The sequence below is a fragment of the Homo sapiens genome, chromosome 16 (assembly GCF_000001405.40).
Source record: "Homo sapiens chromosome 16, GRCh38.p14 Primary Assembly".
NCBI classification, from domain to species: Eukaryota; Metazoa; Chordata; class Mammalia; order Primates; family Hominidae; genus Homo; species Homo sapiens.
The window spans coordinates 78323790-78345702 of NC_000016.10; the positions used below are offsets into that span (position 1 = coordinate 78323790).

Consider the following 21913-nt stretch of genomic DNA (forward strand, 5'->3'; position numbering starts at 1 on the left):
CTTTGTCCGGCATACTTGACTAATTGTAGAGCTTTTTGAGCCTAAAACTGGATAGGAACCCAGTGCATGCACTCTTAAGGACTCAGAGGCCTGCTCAAGGTTAAGTGCAGTATGGTCTGAATAATAAGCATAGATGCCCCTTTACTGAGCAGCAGCTGGGTGCTGGGCACTGTGCTAGGCATTTTTGGATGCATTTTCCTCCTCCAACTTCACTTTCCCCTATGAGATTATTTCCTCTGTGTTAGAGACAAGAAAAATCAATTTACAGGTAGTTTAAGTGACTTGTTCAAGGCTACAGTAAGCTTGAAGTGGCAAGGATGGGATTTGAACGTCTGTCTGCTTGATTCCAAGACCGTGGCCTTTGTCATTCAGGTCATGCTGCTTTCCTCAAGGCAAGGAACTGAGGTTTTCTGTTGGCAGTGAGGTGGTGGCTTCTTGTTTCCCTGGTCTTAGATACTGCTCAACTCACAGTTGAAATGTAGAAGTGAAAAGTCAGACAGCAGCAGGTGTTGCTGGGAATGTGGAGAAGTTGGAACCCTCACACACCATTGGTGGGGATGTAAAATGGTACAGCTAACTTGGAAAACAGTCGGCGGTTCCTCCAATAGTCAAGAGTTCCCATATGACCTAGCAATTCCACTCCTAGGTACGTATCAAAGAGAAATGAAAACATGGACCAAGACTTGTACATGAATGTTAATAGCTGCATTGTTCTTAATAGCCAATAGGTGGAAAAAACCCTAATGTCCATCAATGGACAAATGGATAAATATGTTGTGGTAAATGCGTGTAATGGAATATTCCATTTTATATTCATAAAAATGGACAAAGTCCTGAGGCATTCTATAATGTGAGTGAACCTGGTAAACATGAGGCTAAGTGAAAGAAGTTAGTTACAAAAGTCCACATATGGTGAGATTCCGTTCTGTGATATGTCCAGAACAGAGAAATTTAGAGATAGAAAATAGATGAGTGATGACTCAGGGCTGGGGGAGTTGGGGGTGGGCGGGATAGGAGGGGTAGAGGTGAAGGTGATGAAAATGTTTTGCAATTGTCTGTGTTGGTTGCACAACTCTAAATGTACTAAAAATCATTGAATTATACAATTTTAAATGGGTGAATCGTATGGTATGTCAATTATATCTCAATAAAGCTGTTAAAAAATCTGAAAGTGTCAATTAATCTTTGCTCCCAGAGAAAACCACTCAGGGCCCGAGCTGCTCATGGGCACAAAAACCCATTCCTCAGATTCCTTGGCCATGCTGGAAGCCTGGCTTGTGTGAGAGCCTCAAGTCTCTGTAACAGCCTGGGAGTGTTGGTCCCGTCACAGGGCTGTGGCAGCCTTTAAAGCTAGAAGGCACTGCTCAGAGGAACTGGTTCCTTTGAATCCTTTTCCGTCACCATGCAAATGTTTACAAGCTCTAATCAGGAGAAATGAAAAATCACATGTCTAATTTTAAATATGTTGCCTCTGATCACAGGTGTTGTTAAAACAGCTCTTTTATGACTTTATAAATACTCAGATTTATTTTGAAGCAATGTTTCATTATTCCTATACTATGATTAAATATTGAGACTATTGCTTTTCCAATTGTTCTATTGCAGTATTTAATGAGTGCAATTAAATGGAAAAATTGCCTTTTTAACTGGTGATAGTCCATTAGTGTCTCTGTCTCTTCAGGAAAGAAAAGAAGTGAATTATTAGAATGACAAATGAGGCAAAGTTACCACCGTGATGGAGAGGTGCGATTTCCCTCCACATAATCTTCAGTTAGTGATCTCTGTAAGAGAATGTTTTTCAAAAGGCTAATAGAGAAGTAATGAGATCAGAAGGAGGTCAACCCGGCCTTCTCCGTTTGGCAGCTTGATTAATTTATTTCTCCTTCTTGGAGATTGCTGCAAGGGGCTTTTGTCACCCTGTGTTTTTCATGGGACTGTAACCTGAGTGACTGCTGATATATTAGCCTTGCAGGCAAGGAAGCAAGTCCGTTGCCCTGGAATGGAAGGCATAGGAGTTAAGGGTTTGTTTGCTTTTGCAACTTGAACACACTCATTGGGAGCTTTGGATAATGACAACAATGATGATGATTTTAAGAGTTAATCAAATTAAAGGCTATGAAATGATGCCCACTGTGGATCCTGTGCCTGGTGCTCAGCACATACAACATCATTTCATTTTCACAGCCCTTGTGACATGATAGGGCTCTTTTGCAGATGAGGAAATGCAGGCTCAGAGTTATCTAGCATTGTACCCTTAAGCAGAAGGGGGAGGTAGGAGTGAATCTCTGTCTGCCTCTAAACTCTTGAGCTCCCCTCCAGAAGTCCAGGGCTCTTAGAAACTTTGTACTCAACCATTAAATTGTTGCCATTGTGCTGAGGAGCAAGGAAACTGGGATCACACAGCTAGATCACAGTGGGGGAACCTGAATTATGGGGATGCTCACAAAAGGGCAAAACACAACGGTTGCTGTCATTTGATGCTTTATGTTAAGTGTGCATATGCTCAGTTGCAGAAACCTAAATTGCTAAATTGCAAGGCTGTATATGATATGCCAATTTGGCATATTCTGTCTTTTTATATTCTGCCACCCCTATCATACTTAGGAAAATGCCAGGTTGTAATCATTCACTGGGAGAAACAAGGGGTTGAACGTTGTTATCGCGCAAAGGAAGCTGGGCCTAGTAAAGGAATGTAAATACTAAAATGCCAGCATCACTGTTACTTACTGTGTTTCTCTGGATGTATTACTTAACCTCTCTGGCTTTATTTCTGCCTGCCCTCCCCCCGCCCCCCCCCCCCGCAATGCCTCAATCTGTGGCAGAGTTGTTACATTATTGAAAAAGAACATAAAGCATATTTTCTGGCATACAGCATATGTTTAATTTATAATTTTTGTTTTTATCATTAAAAGCAACAGATTGCTGTATTCTTGCCTGCCACTGACATGGACTTAATTGTTTCATTTAGACATTTAAGTGGGCAATACACTTAAAATGCAGATATAACTTTAATTGTCAAAACATGCTTATTTTAGGAAATGTGTTTCTCCAGTAAAGCTCAGTATCTGGGGCTTTTTCGGTTGTATTCTATATGAATCTTGAATACTGAAGTTTCTCACCATGGAGATGACAAACACATAAAATGTTTACTTTGCAAACTGAATTTCTCTTGCTGCTTTTTCTGAAGTTCCCCAGAGGCTCATCATCATCAATACCATCAATTAATAGTCATCCTTGGCTTCCTCGATCCTCAGCACTGCGCTGGGCACTGCCCCCCAGGAGCATCCATGCACCTCAAATCCTGACCTTGTGACTTTCAAGTCCCTAAGTGACCCCACACTGAAGAATCTGGTGAAGGCCATCCAAGCCCAGAGTTCATTTAAGTGGCAGCGATGGGACCAAATTATAGGCCAGGTCTGTCTTATGAAAGATGATAAATGGATGTGTCATATCGGGAAAGAAATCACTCTGTCATCATATGACAGGCTGGCTTGATTTCTTTGCACCAGTGTCCCTAAAAGTTGGGATGGGGGTGTGAAGCGTGCCAGCTTTCAAAGCCAGTTGTCACTCCATTTTGTGCTGTACCTCCCCAGTTATGAATCTGGGGCATCTTCACTGGACTCTCCAAGCCCCAGTACCCTCAGTGTGGAAGGAGAAAGCATGACCCACTGGGCAGGACACAGAAGGCTTCTGTGAGAATGAAGCTCTATCATGCTTGTAGAACATGGAGCGCTCAGCAAATACAAATCACAGCCCATCTCCTCCAATCATTTGGGGTATTAGGATTCCCTTCACTCCAACTCCCACTGGAAAACCTCTTTGCCATGACACAGAGATTCCACAATCTTCTATTTTTATTTAAAAATTTTTTTAAAGAGTGATCTTTGGTTTTCTCAGTAGATGCTTTCCTCTGAATAGCAAGCATATAGATAGTCTTCTCCTTCAGACCCCCGACCATGGCTATATTATTTAGTCTACAGTGGTTCTTTGTACAAAGTGCTTCTGCAAAGCTCTTAGAGCACCCAGAGCTGGCTTTGGAAAGCAAGACATTAGGAATGAGCTAGCCTGAATGAGTCCTGATTTTTTTTTTTTTTTTTTTTTTTTTTTGAGATGATCTTCTTCTGTTGCCCAGGCTGGAGTACAGTTGTACAATCTTGGCTCATGGCAACCTCAAACTTCTGGGCTCAAGCCAGCCGCCCATCTCAGCTACTTAGTAGCTTGGATTATGGGTTTGTACCACCTTGCCTGGCTAATTTGTATTTTTAGTAGAGATGACATTTTGCCATGTTGGCCAGGCTGGTCTTGAACTCCTGGCCTCATGTGATTGCCCCAACCTCAGCCTCCCAAAGTGTTGGGATTATAGGTGTGAGCCTCTGTACCTGAGTTCTGATTTCTTAAATTTCACAGTCCCTTACCTGTAACTCAAATTCCCGAACCTTCAAAAAACAACAAGTGGCAGCAAAACTTGATTTGGAATTGTCGTGGTCTTGTTTATAATCGTCATTTTTCTTGTCATGTGATTTGATGTTTGGGTATATGTTAACACCTCACTAGGGATATTTCATAGCATATGATTGATGTAAGTCGTAAAAAATTTAGAATCCTTCAACACATACTTGGATTTTAGATGAAGAATCATAGATTTTTATTTCTGTGGCTTTGGATGAGCTGTTTAATTTTCATTTCAAGTTGCTGGTAAGATGATGATGATAATAGAGATAATCCTGTAAGAATGCTGCAAAGGGTTAGTACTTTATTCTTGCAACAAGTATTTATTGTAGGCCTGTATTCAAAGGAGAATAAGATAAATAAGATCGAATGTGGAAATTAGATGAATCCGGAGTTAGTGCAATGAAAGTTACTAAGAGAGAACAGAAATACTCTTGATAATGCTGATGTGACTGGACTTTTGACAAGCAGTCTGGGACTTCTGCTGAAAAGTGCTCTTGAAGCCAAGCAAAATCATTTCCACACCCTCAGCACCTCCAGTTTTTCCTGGCCTTGGTCTCAGGGTGGTTGACCTTTTGCCGATGTGTTTTTCTTTTTTCTTTTCTTTTGTTTTCTTTTCTTTTCTCTTCTCTTCTTTTCTTTTCTAACAGTCTTGCTCTGTCTTCCAGGCTGGAGTGCAGTGGTGCGATCTCAGCTCACTGCAGCCTCTGCCCCCTGGGTTGAAGCGATTCTCCTGCCTCAGCCTCCCGAGTACCTGGGACTACAGGCTCCCATCACCATGACAGGCTGATTTTCTTTTTTTTCGTAGGACGAGGTTTCAGCATGTTCGCCAGGCTGGTCTTGGATTCCTGATCTCACATGATTCACCAACCTTGGCCTCCCAAAGTGCTGGGATTACAGGTGTGAGCTACCGCACCCAGCCTGCTGATATATTTTTAATTATCATAAGAAACAGTTAAAGTGAAATTGCAACCCCATGGTATCGGTGGACTGAACGTTTGGTTCTCATTTCCTTGAGATGGTAGTTTCCTCCTCTGGCTACTTTTGTCCAGCCAGTTCTCCTCTGTGGGCATTTGGGGAAGGGCTCTCTGATAGAAATATGAAATGATGAGGGATGCAAAAAACGTGGTTTGTTTCTTAGAACAACCTCCACCACGAAGGTTCCAGACAGAGTGAAATTTCTGTATTTGCTGACCCTGTCGCCAGTAGCCTGGAATAAACAGCAAAAATAGTTCTTGAGGCTTCGTGGCAAATGTGACCTACCTTTGTAGTTCTTGGGTAGGTGTGTGACTGTGGCCTATGAGGCCAAGTTGCAAGGTCTTTGGATGAACTTTGTGGCATCTGGCAATGTCCCCAGTGCAACCTATGTAAAATATAGCAGTTTCCTGCACACGCTTAAGGGAAGAAACCGTTGTGGGGAAGCGTGCTCTGTTATTCTTGCCAATGTAGCCAACATATACATGGGGAGGTCTGTTTTATGTTTTATGTTTGATGGTTTTTTCTTTTTCTTTCTTTTTTTTTTTTTTGAGACAGGGCCTTGCTTTGTCACCCTGGCTCAAGTGCAGTGGTAGAATCATAGCTCACTGCAGCCTCAAACTCTTTGGCTCCAGTGATTCTCCCACCTCAACCTCCCAAGTAGCTGGGACTACAGGCGTGTACCACCATGACCAGCTAATCTTTTAGTTTTTGTAGAGACAAGTTCTTGCTATGTTGCCCACAGTAACATAGTAAGTCTCAAATTCCTGGCCTCAAGCGATCCTCCAGCCTTGTCCTCCCAAAGTACTGGATTACAGGCATGAGTCACTGCCTGGTGCTTTCTTTTTGTCTTTTTCTAATAACCATTGCTATAGATGGTTGTCCTTAACGCGTAAATGTTTAAAATACCTAAATGCCTAAACGTTTGAAAACATTCCTTAAAAATTGAAGTTATAGCATACTAACAAGTGTTCATTTTTATAATTGCTGATTTAACTTAATAAAAACCAATAACTATAAATATCCTTAATGCCACTGAATTGTTCACTTAAAGTGGTTAAAATGATAAATTTTGTTACGTATATTTTACCACAAATTAAAGAAAATTAATATTTCCAACAAGCCAAAGCTCTATGTAAATGTCCTAAATTAATGTGTTTAAAGAGAAAATTTCACCAGTGATAATTTTTTTTTTTTTTCCCCTGAGAAAGTCTTGCTCTGTTGCCAGGCTATAGTGCACTGGCGTGATCTCAGCTCACTACAATCTCTGCCTCCTGGGTTCAAGCAATTCTCCTGCCTCAGCCTCCCGAGTAGGTGAGACTACAGGCGCATGCCACCACCGCCAGCTAATTTTTGTATTTTTAGTGGAGACGAGGTTTCACCGTGTTGGCCGGGATGCTCTCGATCTTTTGACCTCGTGATCCGCCCGCCTTGGCCTCCCATAGTGCTGGGATTATAGGCGTGAACCACCGTGCCCGGCAGGGAGTAACATTTCTATGCAACTATATGTGGGTGTATTTTTCTGAACATGTCAGTGAAGTTTAAATATTCATCTCACTTCTTTCAGTCACCCTCAAAGGGGAATTTAATTTACGACTTCATTTGTACTTTCAAACTTCCTCCTGGAAACAGAAGAAAATAAAATTAGATTTTTGTAAGCTGAGATGATATGCATGTTCTTATTTTCAATACAGTTAGTCTCTCCACTTTATTTTTAAACACAACCTCATAATACAAATAATCTAGTCTTTTCTGGAGCAGTCTATTTATTCAGACAGGTGGAAGTTGATGCTAAAGATTGGCGTTAAATTGAGTAAACCATTCATGTAGTAAATAAGATAATTTGTTTCTGCCCCCCAAAAGATTAAAATATAGATTTTTTTCAAAGTCTGTTTTTTTAACACCTACGGTCCCTGAATATGTTCGATTGAGGTTTGTGTCTGTAATTTGGAACGGCTTTTTGTTGCAACTAAAATATTCATTTGCAGAAATTATCACTGAGGGTGTTAGCTTCTTCATGCTTGCGTTTCTTGCATTTGTTACTAAATAAAATATTTAGAAGTCACGTCGATTTTCAAAATGATAGTTAAGGATGAAGGTAATATTGGCATATTTATTTTTATCTGTGTAATTTTTGCAACTTATAACCCCTTCAGGTCCAAATGAAACAGGCAACCAGGTAATAAACCAATTACATTCTAATACAGATTACTTCATGACAGTGTCTTATTTTCCAGTTTATATGTAGGTGAGATTCTTTGGAGACCGTCTTCGTAATATAGCTAGTTTTTGTCCATTCATTTTGCTTTGACTTCCTTGTATAGGTACAAAGGTGTAAGTAGGAGAGTCTACCAGGCAGCACACAGACGTGGCCCTGTAACCACCCTTGTGTAAAATCAGAGTAATCCTCCCTATCCTTGCTTATTTCACTGGGTTCATGGGTGATGACTGTAAATGACACAGGAGACAGGGAAAGAGTTTTGTTATCCTGATACACACATTCTTAAATGCCTCTAGCTGTGTAGACATTGGTTTGTCCATATTAATAGTATTTTACGAAGTGCCAGTTGTGTGCCTGCTTTGTGGCATATGCATTGGCATTCATTGCTTTATTTAATTCTTCCAACAACGTGTCAGATGTCTGTTCAAATTATTCCCCCCTTTACAGACACAGAAACTAAGATTTAGAGAGGTTATGCAATGTGCCAACAGGGAGAAGTTGGAGCTGGAATTTGAACCAGGCTAGCTGACTCCAAAGCTGTGTCCTCAAGCAGTACATCAGAGCCGAGGAAGGTCAAGTTTGGAACGCCATTTAGCTGCTCTCAGGGAGTCTGATTACTGTTTCTCTGTTGAGGCTCAGCTCAAGCCTTCCCTGGGCCATGAAAGACAACTTAGGTTTGGGTGTCCTGTGTTTGTACCTTGTTTTGTGCCCACCTACATCCTGGGTTATGTCTTTCCCCACCCCAAGCCTTTTTTGCCATCTCTTTTTCCCAGAAAGACTGGAAACTTGCCTAAAGAGACAGAATCCCAGATCCCAGATGGATCTACTATTTTAGAATCTCTGCTTCCGCATTTCTAAAATCCTTCCCAGAGAATTATTTGACTAGTTAAAGCTTAAGAAACACCCCAGTGGATTATGAGTGCCTTCTAGCCAAGAATGGGTATTTCCTCTGTGCAATCTGAGGGCACGGGACACTCCTCCAGCGGAGTAGCCTGTGATTTGTATGGGCTGCATGAATTCCTGCACTAACAAGGTAAAAGAAGGATGTTAAAGAAAACCCGAGATCTTTTGGGTACATGCTATAAGGTGAAAGGCTTATTCCATTTGCTCAAGAACAAACATCCATTTGTCCACCCCAAGTATTTATATAGTTCAATTAAGCGGGCAGGTAAACTGATTTTTTGGGTGGTTAATGATCTGATGATTTTCCTCTCTGTCATTGTGATTGGATATGATAATCTGAGAGTTGCCCAAATTAGTGCCTTTACTGTAGTTATAATAATGTCATGATGACTGAGGATCACTGAGTGTGCCTTTTGCTCTGTTAAGTGTGCATTCAGAACTTTACTAACATGGGTTCCACAGGAAATATTAGCCCCATTTTGCAAATGAAGAGGCTGAGGCTCAGAAATTTAAAATTGCTTCATGTCGCACAGTTCAGTGTAAAGTTGCAATGCAAACTAAGATGTTTCCGTTGCTTATAATCTTAACTATAATAATCATAAACCATGTTCTGTTGCTCAGAACCCTTGTACTTATAATATAAAACAATCTTTTTAACCAAGATTCTTCGCTTGGGTATTCTGAGTAGCATGGAAGAGCATTATACTTTTTTTTTTTTTTTTTTTTTTTTGAGACAGAGTCTAGCTCTGTCACCCAGGCCTGGAGTGCAGTGGTGTGATCTCGGCACACTGCAACCTTCGCCTCCCAGGTTCAGGCGATTCTCCTGCCTCAGCCTCCTGGGTAGCTGGGACTACAGGAGCATACTCCCACACCCAGGTAATTTTTCATTTTTGGTAGAGACGGCGTTTCACCGTGTTGGCCAGGCTTGTCTCAACCCCTGAGCTCAGGTGATCCGCCTGCCTTGGCCTGCCAAAGTGCTGGGATTACAGACATGAGCCACCAAACCTGGTCAATTTTCTATGGTGTGTGTTACATTTTTTAAAATTTTATTTTAATGTTTATATAGAAAAAGTTGCCTTATCAACCATTATAATCATGGTATTTAGTGAGTGTAATCTGTTCTGATGTAATACTTAGTTTAACTGGTAAAAAATATTTTGACAGAATTTAAGATTAGTTCTTTTTGCTTTGTCCGTCAATGTGAAATAATCAGTATATCATATTTATAGAATTCTGCTAAAACATGCATATATACATAAACAGATATTCATCTTAATTGATGTTAATTGAGATATAGGAGTACTTCATTAAGTCTCCAGAATACATACTTCATAAGCAGGAGGCATATATGTTTGTATATATGTATGTACATAGACTTGATACACATGAAATAAAATTTCAAATGGTTCCTCTGTTCAGCAAACGTGACCCAAAGTTTTGGCTTATTTGGCGTTTTGTTTTCTTGAAGACATACTTGAATTTTAAATAGTTAATCCATTTAAGAAGTTTCATTTAAGGTACTGTTAAAAAGAAAAAACACAGAACAACACAGTGAGAGCAGAAAAGGTATCATCTCCTCCCCCTCTTCTTCTCTTTTAGAAACCTTGCGTGATCCACTGATGGTAAATATTTCATGTACTTTGCATATCAGCCTGAGTTCCTTTTGTGAAGTCAGGTAAATGGAATGTAAATCCCCTCGTCCTCCAGACAGTAAAACGGCATTATTTGATGTTACATCGCATAAAGATGCAGATTTGATTCCCCCTTTACTCACACTATAAAAACAAAGTTTTTAAAGTGGTTAGCCATACCTGGAAATGTAAATGCATTCGCCTAATGTAATGCCAAAGAAAAATTAAGACAAATGATACCACATCGCTGCCACAAACTGCGGCTCGTACAAAATTCACTTTAGTTATTATGCTGTGAATACGGGCTCTCACCCTCCTCCGTGAATGCACAATTTATGTTGAATGCAACATGAATCATTTTAATAGACCAAGCAAAAAGTCCCCAAAGTCGATTTTCAAATTATGAACCTTGGAACAGAATATAACAACAGCGAACAACAAATAGTTCAGACTTTACTCTGAGCTATGAGTGAACCATTAAAGATACAGCAAGCACTTTCGGTGAGGTGTTACACAATTCATAGCCTAATGGCAAAAATATCAGAAATGGGGTATTTTTTAATGCTGTTTTTCCAGCCATCATTCTGTTCAATTATTTTCACATTTGTGTAATCAAGATATTCCCAAACAGAACATAGAGTTGTGTATTGTTGGGAACTAATTATATGTATTATAAATCCAAGAATTAATTTAAATGACCCAGTTTCCACAGAGAAAAAGCCACATTGTTTTTAAATAGCTAACTAAACAAAATGCTAACCCATATGGGAGAAATTTCCAAAGAATTAAAACCACCCACCAGGAAAATGGGAAAGTCTCCCCTCCACACACACACACACGCACACACACACACACACACACACATACACACACACACACACACACACAAAATCACCAAATCACACCTGAACAAGAGGAAGAAAATTAAACTCATTGAGGAGATACCATCTTTTTTTAAAAAAAAAAAAAAGGCAGCAAAATGTGAGATGGGCGTTTATTATGAGATACACGAAGACAGAGACCAGAGGTTCCCCAAGTAGCCCCTGGACCTGCAGTGTCAGCATCACCTGGTAGCTTGTTAGACATAGAAATTCTTGGGCTTTATTCCACACATAATGAATCAGAAGCTTGTGGGGTGGGGCCTGCAGTCTGAGGTTTATTTTTTCTAAAACTTTAAGTTCCAGGGTACATGTGTAAGATGTGCAAGTTTGTTACATAGGTAATCATCTGCCACGGTGGTTTGCTGCAGAGATCAACTTATCACCTGGATATGAAGCCCAGCGTCCATTAGCTGTTGTTGCTGATGCTCTTCCCACCACCTGCAAGCCCCAGTGTGTGTTATCCGCCTCCACCGTGTGTCCATGTGTTCTCATCATGCAGCTCCCACTTATAAACGAGAGCATGCAGTGTTTGGTTTTCAGTTTCTGCATAAGTTTGCCTAGGATAACGGCTTCCAGCTCCATCCATGTCCCTGCAGAGGACATGATCTCTTTCCTTTTTATGATTATATAATATTCCATGGTATATATGTACCATATTTTCTTCATCCTATCATTTATGAGCATTTGGAGTGATTCCGTGTCCTTGCTATTGTGAAATACCATTTGACCCAGCAATCCCATTACTGGGTATGTAACCAAAGGAATAGAAATGATTGTATTATAAAGGTACATGCACATGTATGTTGACTGCAGCAGTTTTCACAGTAGAAAAGACATGGAATTCACCCAATCCGAATTTTAACAAGTCTTCCATGTGATTCTGAGACAGACTCATGTTCGTGTGGTTCTGGCTCTGCAGAACTGAGGTGGGCCCCAAAACTTGCGTTTCTAAAAGGTACTAGCTGAGCATGATGACTCACATTTGTAATCCCACCACTTTGTGAGGCCGAGGCGGGTGGATCGCTTGAGGCCAGGAGTTTGAGACCAGCCTTGCCAACATGGTGAAACTCCATCTCTACTAAAAATATAAAAATTTGCCGGGTGTAGTGGTGCACACCTGTAGTCCCAGCTATTTGGAAGGCTGGGGCAGGAGAATCGCTTGAACCTGGGAGGCAGATGTTGCAGTGAGCCGAGATCAGGCCACTGCACTCCAACCTGGGTGACAGAGCCAGAGTCTGTCTCAAAAAACGAAAAACAAAAAAAACCAAAAGACTAAATGTATAAAAGGTACCCAGGTGATGTTGATGCTACTTGTCTTGGCCAATGAAATGAAAAGCCTACAGGCCAGGCATGGTGGCTCATGCCTGTGATCCACAACTTTGGGAGGCTGAGGCAGGCAGATCACCTGAAGTCAAGAATTCAAAACCAGCCTGACCAACATGGTGAAACCCCATCCCTACTAAAAATACAAAAATAACACCAAAAAAAAAAAAAAAAACCACAACAAATTAGCCAGGTGTGGTGATGTGGCCTATAGTCCCAGCTATTTGGGAGGCTGAGGCAGGAGAATCTCTTGAATCCAGGAGGTGAACGTTGCAGTGAGCCAAGATCTCACCACTGCACTCTAGCCTGAACTTCAGAGAGAGACTATGTCTCAAAAAAAAAAAAAAAAAAAAGCCTACAGTTGACAGGCAGATAACAGAGGGAGCAAAGGAGTCTTGTGGAAGACAATAGGGAGTGTTGAGGACCTGTCAAACAACACAGTCCCCATCTGTACTTTGGGAGGTAAGGACTTCTTAGTTCCAGCTGCCTGTTGCCATGGGGGAACATAGACCCAGAGCTGCCATCTTTTCTAATTTTTTTAAAAATTAGAGGCTAAAAGTTTTGGCTTATAAAAATGGTATTTCCTGAGTTTTTACAATTATAGTATTAAGATATTCCTAGGTTTTTGTTTGTTTTCGAGACGAAGTTTCGCTCTCATTTCCCAGGATGGAGTGCAGTGGTGCAATCTCCTCCGCCTCCCAGTTTAAGCCATTCTCCTGCCTCAGCCTCCTGAGTAGCTGGGATTACAGGCGCCCGCCACCATGCCCGGCTAATTTTTTGTATTTTTTAGTACAGACGGGGTTTCAGCATGTTGGCCAGGCTGGTCTCAAACTCCTGACCTCACGTGATCCACCCGCCTTGGCCTCCTAAAGGGTTGGGATTACAGGTGTCAGCTAGTGCACCTGACCCTAGGATAATCTTAATTTTAAGTAGCTGGTAACTCATAAATTTTTAAACACTCTGCAGTTCAAAGAAAACATGTTTGTGGTAGGTAGCCAGTTTATAACCTGTGTAAGACTGTGTTATTAGCAAATCCCTCAATGTGTTGACCAAGAGTGGGTAGGAATCCTGCAGACAGAATCTTTTGAAGGTGGTTTGTTTTTTTATTCCTTTATAAGTACAGTTGTAGATTTACAAAGTAATTGAGTATATAGTACATAAGGTCTTGTGTACCCACCGATCGCAATTGAGCATATAGTACATGCTGTCCTGTGTACCCACTGATCCCTGGTCCTGCCCCTGGTATGAGGGTATTAACATCTTGCATTAGTGTGGCACATTTGCTACAATTAATAAACCAATATCGATACATTATTAACTAGTCTATAGTTTACATGAGGGGCTGCTGCTTGTGTTGTACATTCTATAGGTTTGTTCAATGCATAATGACAGGTGTCTGTCATTTCATTATGGAGTGAAACCATTCCAATTTCATACAGCGTAGTTTCACGCCTCTAAAAGTCCCCTGAAAGTGTTATTAAAAGTACTATCTGGCCATGTCCTCATTTCCCCAGCAAAGTCCTTCTGAGAATTTAGGCGCTTTAGGCTAGAGGATCTCAGTGCTCAGAATGAAATATCCCTGTACTCCAAGATGCCTCCAGCAATTATAATTGAATCTTGAAGCTAGAGTTTCTTGGCTATCCTATTTCCCTTTTGTTTCCACCATGAAGAAGTGGAGAGCCGTGTGACCTCAGTGGTAGAGCTGATGTAGAAGCGCCCTCTCTGTTCCTGGCAGTGCCTGTCCTGCTAACCTCGTGTCTCTTGCTGGGGTCTTCATCAGTAAGAGACCTCACAAGATGCTTTATCAGGTCACTTGGCAACCAAGCTGATGAGGATAGCAGTTTCTTTTGTTCTTTTAAAACATATATAAAATTATTTTTATCAAACATGACAGATCAAAAGCCTTCTGGAAAGGAGAGATGGTAACTAATTTAGGCAGTGTCTTTTGCTTTCACATGGTGTACCCAGTACTATTAATATGAATTTATCACATGGAAACAAACTTTTAAAAAAATTAATTTTGTGAATTAAATAAAGCAGCATGCAAATTTACTATCGTATTCAGCAACCAAAATTTTATCACTTGCCTGATACTGCCTAGTGAGCAGGTGGAAATGTAGACACCAACACCCTCATGGATTCCCAGCTGCTGAGAGTTTGAATAGTATGTGAAGTCTGTAGAGACAAAATTGTTGTTTTCCCCAGTTGTAAAGTGTGCAATATTATCCTTGCAAAATTGTCTGTTTATTTTTTTTGCCCTTTTGGGGGACAAAATGTCTTTATGTTAAATTGTTTTATTATTGTTATCTTTATGGAGTTAAGGGCACATAAAATATTCTTACAGAGAGAAATTCTGTAGTTTCCACAAGTAACCAGAGAATTGTTCAAGGCAGAGAATTATTTTTTCAATGCCTATTTTCTCCTGAATTTTCTGACGGAGTTAGAGATAGGAAAATACCATAATCTGCTATAAATTCAGTTGAAAAATAGAAATAGTGAGAAATCCAGGTTGTGCTCTGTCGTAATTTAAGCCTAATATGTGATTGTCTACATGTTTACAAGTTACCGCCTTTTTATTTCTTCTCTTTTTCTGTTTTCTTCTTCCATTTTTATGTTTTGCTATGCCATTCATTCATTCTATTCTTTTCATTTCTTTTTCTTTTTGTAAAAATTGTACAGAGTTTAAAGTTAGTCAGGTATGTCTATTAAATTTTTACGTAAAAAGTTAAAGCAGCCCTCAGCATCAACTTCTTCTTCATTTCTAACTCATTTAGTGAATTCAGTTGGTCTTTATATATGTAGCTTTAAGTAATTGCATGTAAACTGTTACTTCTTCATTTTCTAGTCTTAGATATTATCTGTAGGTTTTTCAATAAGAAGGAAATTTAGCTTCCTTCTACTTTGGTGCCCCATGATGATGTGCATCTTTTTTATTTCTGCATCATATCCATATAGTGATATCATGTATAATGATGTTTAAGAAGACAGTTTTTTTTGTTTAAATTGTTATAAATAAGTAAGTGTATGCACCACTATGCCATGTAGCATATCAAGATTATTTTTCTTTCCTGCACCTTATTTTTTCCCTGGAGTTAATACTCATCTTTTTTTAGAAATTTGCTGAGTTTGTGATGTACCTATCATTCAACCTCAAACTTTCATGTGATTGTCTAAATCTCAGTTCCTTTTATTAGAAAAAAAAAAAAAAACAACTCCCCTGGAGCCTTTGTACCTTCTGCAGTTTGGGGTTGTTGTCCTTTTTGCTTGGTGCACAGGAATACTTGGTGATGTTCTTTTTAAAACTGCCCTCACATTGTATCCTGGAAAGTTCATTTACCTGTACCCGGAGTTGGAACTTCTCTTCCACATCTTTTCCTGTATTGGTTTGGTTATTGTTTTGTGGGAGCATGTCTTGTAGTAGCTTTCTGAAAAAGGATGATAGAATATGTGTGTGTGTCTGTGTGTGTGTATTTCAGGTTTCAAAATGTTTCTGTTCCATCCTCATTTTATTCATTGTTAGGGATAGAATTACAGATTTAAAATCAATTTTGCTTCAGAGTTTTAAATTCTATTTTGTGGCTTTCTGTGTTGTTCTCGGGAAGTACAAACCCTTGTGACCGCTGTTCTCTTTCATTTCTATCTGCTTCTCTCTTGGGAGTACAATGGGAGGCATATCATCAACCCCTTGCTGCTATCCAAATAGGAGACTGTTCCCTTTCAAGAGAATTTTAGGTATTCAGATCCTAGACCTCCCAGATGGCCTCATAAGTATTTTTATCCTCTATTTATCTTTGTCTTTGTGTTACTTTCAGGGATAGTTCTTCTAGTCTTTCCATGGATTTGGTGGGGGGGGGGGGGACGTTTCTATTTCCTTTATGTTTGATAACATTCTATTCTTGTTTCATGGATGATGTTACTCTTTTAACTCTCTGATGTTAATGATAATTGTTTTAATTTTTCTTTTCTGTTTAGTTTCTATCTTCTCAAAATTGTTTTCATTTCTTTTGGTAATTGTGTTTGATGATAGTCTTTTTTTTTTTTTGAGATGGAGTCTTACTGTGTCACCTAGGCTGGAGTGCAGTGGTGTGATCCTGCCTAACTGCAACCTCCACCTCCCAGGTTCAAGTGACTGTCCTGCCTTAGCCTCCCAAGTCGCTGGGACTACATGTGCGTGTCACCAAGCCGAACTAATTTATTTTTATTTTTTGTATTTTTAGTAGAGATGAAGTGTTTACCCTGTTGGCCAGGCTGGTCATGAACTCCTGACCTCAGGTGATCTGCCCATCTCAGCCTCCCAATGTGCTAGGATTACAGGCATGAACCACCACACCTAGCCTCTTGATAAAGTCTTTCCCCAAATGTTCTGATCTGTGGATGTCTGTTTCTATCTAAGTAGAATTCAAAGTTACTGCTGCCAACTCTTAGCACATGGCCACGGCCAGTTAACTGTGGACTCCTCTGAAGGATGATCTGGCTGGACTATTTTTTGGGAAAACCACTGTGTTTGAATGTTTGCATGTGTCCTGTTGGCAGAACAAATATCCCACAGAAGGATCTTCTTATCTTCTGCTTGGGGAAGGTGTAGCTCTGACTGCTAGAGTTCTAGAGCCAAGTGAGGGGGAGAGTTCTGAGTCTCTGCATTCAGTAGGTAAACATTTACAAAGTCTGTGTTTTCAGTATCATGCCACTGTTCTCACCTGTTTATGTTCTCTTCTGATAATAAACTTCTGTCATTTTTCTGGAGTTATGAAATGATGGTATCCTGCTGGGCTGAGTGGGGAGGGATTCTCAAGCTGTACATAGCTGACACACAGGTTTCTAAAAGGTTGTCTTTCAACCCCATTTTCAGAAGTACCAGGTTCCACATTTTCTGAGCCTTTGCTGGCTCTCTGATAGGAATTGTGTTACTTCTCAGCTGTCCCCATGGCTAGCTTAAGACTCAGCTCTCTTAAGTCACTTCCTAGTTGTCCATCTGCTTTCCAGCATCCAACTGTAATTTTTTTTTTTTTAAGAGAAATGAAGTCTCATTTTGTTTCCCAGGCTGGTCTCACTGTAATTCCTGGGCTCAAGTTACCTCTCACCTTGGCCTCCCAAACTGCTGGGATTATAGGCATGAATCGCTGTGCCTGGCCTCAACTTTAAATTTTTATATTGAATAATCTTTGATTTGTATTGTCATGTTGTTTTATAGCAGTTACTGCTGTTTTAGTGTGATTTGGGATGAAAATTTTAAAAAATCAATATGTATAATCCACCATCTTTGTTCCTTTTATTTTTATGTTACTCATTCTTTTAAGCTTGTCTTAGACGTGAGTATTATGTTTTATTTTGCTGGGAGAACAATTTGGGAAAATTTGAGCAGCAAACCATAAGTTTCTTGGTGTCTGTGTACTTGGAGCTCTGAATCACTATTGTCACTGAGGGAGTGGACAGGAAGTGATGCTGAGATAAGTCTAGATGGGATAGGTGGGCAACATGCAGGAGAAACCTCCTGGGAAAGGTGAGCAAGAGCACACAGGTGAGACATAGCATCGAGTGTGGAAACCTCCATGGGTGGCAGGTCAGTGTTGCTGAGGGATGTGGACATGTCTGAGGCCAAATAGATGAGTCCCTATTGGGTTTTGCCTCTCCACAATCTAGAGGAATATTTATGGAAGGTTAACAGGGCATGGTGGTGCACACCTGTAATTCTAGCACATTGGGAGGCTGAGGTGAGAGGATTGCTTGTCTTACAGGAGTTGAAGACTAGCCTTGGCAACATAGCAAGACCTCATCTCTACTTGGAAAAAAAAAATTAGCTGGGCATGGTGGTGCTCACCTATAGTACCAGGTACTTCGGAGGCTGAGGCAGCAGAATGGCTTGAGCCTGGGAGATCAAGGCTACAGTGAGCTGCAATTGTGCCACTGCACTCTAATTTAGGCAGCAGAATGAGACTATGTCTCAAGAAAATGTTCAAGAAGAAATACAAACTATTGAAAAAGGAAGGCTGAATGCTTTATCAGAAAACTGTATTTGGAGGGGACCTTTCTGGGGTCTTTTAGTCAGGGTACATAAGTGTCAGCTGCTACGACAAACAACTTGCAACGTCTCATTATCTTCATACAACAAACGCTGATTTGTTCCTTTCATTACATATCCAGTGTGAGTTGGCTGGAAGGTCCACCCTACACAACCACTCGTGAAGGCAGACTTGAAGGGGACTCCACTGTCTTGGAGCTACACTCTAAAACAAATAGCCTCCAAAGTCAAGGACTCTGTAACAGGATGAAGCAGCATTTTTTATGGGCAGGTTTGCACGTGGCATTTGTTGCTTCCATCAACATTCCACTGGCGAGAGTGAGTCCCTGGCCCCTATGTAATTATGAGGGAGGCTGAGATGTGAGAAGCACATGGGTGTTGGGAGAGCACTAAAGGTCTCTAGCCCAGAAGCATGACTTCCAGCCAAGTGAGACAGGGAAGCCCAGAAAAATGTGTCACAGAACTTATGGCATCAGAATCTGATTCCCAGGCATGCTTTCCACCATATGCATAGACATTTGCACCCCAGGGATAGCACCATTACTCCCAAAAATTGCAGGTTTGAAAGGGTACCTAAAAACAAGCCACCAGATTGTCCCATTCCACTATCATTCTGCCATCAACACCGAGGTGTCGGAGTAGCAGGAGAGCCACATATTTCTTAGTGAGGGGACCCAGAATGATCCCTTTTGTGCTAGAGGATCTGAGTTCATTTCATGAAACTGAAGCATCTTCTTGGAGATATAAGCTCACCTTGGGATAGGCCCTTGCAGATGACAATAAAGGTATTTTGGCACATAAAAAAACTGCTCAGCACACCTTGTATTTGTATTTCCTTTGACGTGAACCATGGCCATCCAGTAGGCCACGCAACATTCCCACTGCCATGTTGGCTTGTTTTTCTTTTGTTTTCTTGTCAACATAAGCCTCATGAGACAACAGCAGGATGCAAGATTGTACAATGACACCATGACTCTGCTTTCTGGGTGTCCTCTGTGGGCTCTCAGCAGTGTCCCCGATGTGGAGGGTCTTCTTATTCTGTGTGTGTGCCCTCTGCTGTTGAAAGTTGCCTGTCACCCATGATGCTGTGCTGATTGAGCAAACTAATCCATAACCCACCGCCACGTTCCTCGCCTACTTGCTTCTAGGCACATTAAACGGTCAGTGCACAGGTCCTCATTTTTCTCATGCTTCCATTTCCATATTCTCAATCAATCACTGATGGCCAGCTGTCAACAGGCACCATTTTTGGTGGGACCTGAAGATGTATATCCCTTGTTTTCAGATTCCTCGCCTCTCATCATGTAAGGTGATGCTCTGAGCTGGGTCTTAAAGCTTCTGGGCACAGCCCCCCTTGAGTCTTCATTATGGCAAATCTAGTGCAGGTGCTGAGAGGCGGTAACTCTTTAAAGGGACAGGATATGGAAACGTGGCTTCATGGACAGTATTTTAGTATATTTCTGTAAATAGCACATGTGCTAGATAGCAGATTTGTGTATGGATATGCACCCGGCTAGGGACCTCTTTAATGGTCATTCATTTGGGAGATGACCTTTGGTTCCTAAACTGGTGGACATACCAAGGACTAAAGGAGTGACTTGCTCTCAGTTCTTTGTCATTCAGCTGCTTTAATATTAATATGACACCCGTTTTGGGCTTGAAAAGTTTTCCTTCTGCTGAGAAATGATGATGGTGACAATGATGACAATGACGATGACCCTTGGTTGGAGCAATGTAGTCTAAATGTGGTTGCATCATCTTCTTTCTTCCTTTGCCTTCCTCCCTTGCTCTTTTTCTGCCCCTCATGCCGGCTCCTTCCTCCCACATCACCCCACATTTTTTTTTCTTTCTCCTCACCATCAAGAAATGTTCCAGAATGCCATTATTCTTCGTCACCACGGTCAGGTATATCATCCTAAGGGCAGAGGGTGAAGGTGCGTAATTAGTGTTTCACCAGACTGAGCATCATCCTCGGGCAGGTGCAGGGGAGAATGGCTGGTATTTATGAGTGAATGGCAGCGTTTTGACAGGATGATGAATAAATATGCTGGGCCCAGAGGACTCCAGGTGATAAGCATTTCTTTGTGGTCTGGTAAGTGATAGCACCCATTGCTTAATTTCTCTAAAATCTGCATTTGTCAATTTTGTATTTTTTTATTTGAAAGGTATTTGCTTAAATAAATAGGCCATATAAATCTAGCTCCCAATGTCCATTTTCAAATGATTTCCAGCAAGGAAGATGGAATTACCACGAGGAACCTGTTCTCTTATGTTTCTGCTTAGATGGCTGGGTCTATACCAGGGTTTATTTAAATGAACACAGGAAATGCCATTCACCTTTACCATGAATGGGAATCTTTGCCTGTGACTCTATCGTGTGAATTAGCAGAGCTTGGCTATTATTCCCCTACTTCGGTAGATACTGGCTGTACAGAAGGGAACCCCAGTTTCAATGAGTACCTATGTGCTGGGCACTTAGCTGGTTTTTACACACATACTTCATTTGAAGGGAAGGAATTGACTGAAAAGAATTCTCCATTCCAACTTCCCAAGTCAGTTGCCATTTGGCCCTGATAAAGCTGTACTTTCTCACTTGTTCCTTATTTAAAATAGAGAAAAGTGCATCAAGCTCTTGTTAATCTGTCAGGCCTTCCTAAGATGTCTGAAGAAGTTAGTTTGGTGAACATGGGCTTCAGGGTCAGACTGCTTGTGTTCCATTCTTGATCCTATCACTTCCTTGCTGCGGGAACTCTGGAAAGTCACTTAACCTCTCTGAGCAAGCTTCCATTTTTCCAGGTGAAAACGGGAGTTTAGCCTAGTCCCCACTTGATAAGATGGTTGTGGAAAGTATTGTGCGTCATGGACCTAAAGTACCTAGGAGATTGTCCTGGATGTCGTTTTCTCATAAAGTTGACTATGGCTATTGGTGGTACTAGTATGACTGTCAAGTCGATCAGGTGGCTGAGGAGCAGTACATGGGGGTATACAGAGTGCAGGCCTCAGAACTGCAGAACATCTGCACAATCTCCAGCAAGCTAACCTCTCTGGACATCGTATTCCTCATCTATAAAAGGGAGACTTCAATCTTATTTAATGGCAAAAGTCACAATTACTTTTGTACCAACGTAATAGAATTAAGTAAAATAAGGCTAGACATGCTGGCTCATACCTTTAATCCCAGCACTTTGCGAGGCCAAGGTGGGCAGATTACTTGAGCCCAGGTGTTGGAGACCAGCCTGAGCACCATGGCAAAACCCCATCGCTACCAAAAAAAAAAAAAAAAAAAAAAAAAAAAAAAAAAAATTTTAGTCGGGTGTAATGGCACACCTGTAGTCCCATCTACTCGGGAGGCTGAGGTGGGAAGTTTGAACCTGGGAAGTCAAGGCTACAGTGAGCTGTGATCCTGTCTCTACACCTCAGTCTGGGTGGCAGAGCAAGACCCTGTCTCAAAAAAAAAAAAAAAAAAAAAAAAGTAAAATAAAGCATGGGAAGTCCCTTATACAGTTTGTGA

General features: G+C 40.9%; 1 protein-coding gene across 2 annotated transcripts in view, besides 2 other annotated features; it reads left to right on the forward strand.

The window, feature by feature from the left end:
- The window catches only part of WWOX (WW domain containing oxidoreductase), a 1113014-nt gene that overhangs the window by 224136 nt on the left and 866965 nt on the right, over positions 1 to 21913 (forward strand). The gene's annotated exons all lie outside the window — the stretch shown is intronic.
- Positions 3417 to 3586: an enhancer, noted in NCBI's record as "experimental_46191 CRE fragment used in MPRA reporter constructs". NCBI's record gives its function as "activates a minimal promoter by MPRAs in K562 erythroleukemia cells, with activity observed for both the introgressed and non-introgressed 16:78361188 variant alleles {active_cell/tissue: K562}" and the evidence as "EXISTENCE:reporter gene assay evidence [ECO:0000049][PMID:34662402]".
- Positions 3742 to 3911: an enhancer, noted in NCBI's record as "experimental_46196 CRE fragment used in MPRA reporter constructs". NCBI's record gives its function as "activates a minimal promoter by MPRAs in K562 erythroleukemia cells, with activity observed for both the introgressed and non-introgressed 16:78361513 variant alleles {active_cell/tissue: K562}" and the evidence as "EXISTENCE:reporter gene assay evidence [ECO:0000049][PMID:34662402]".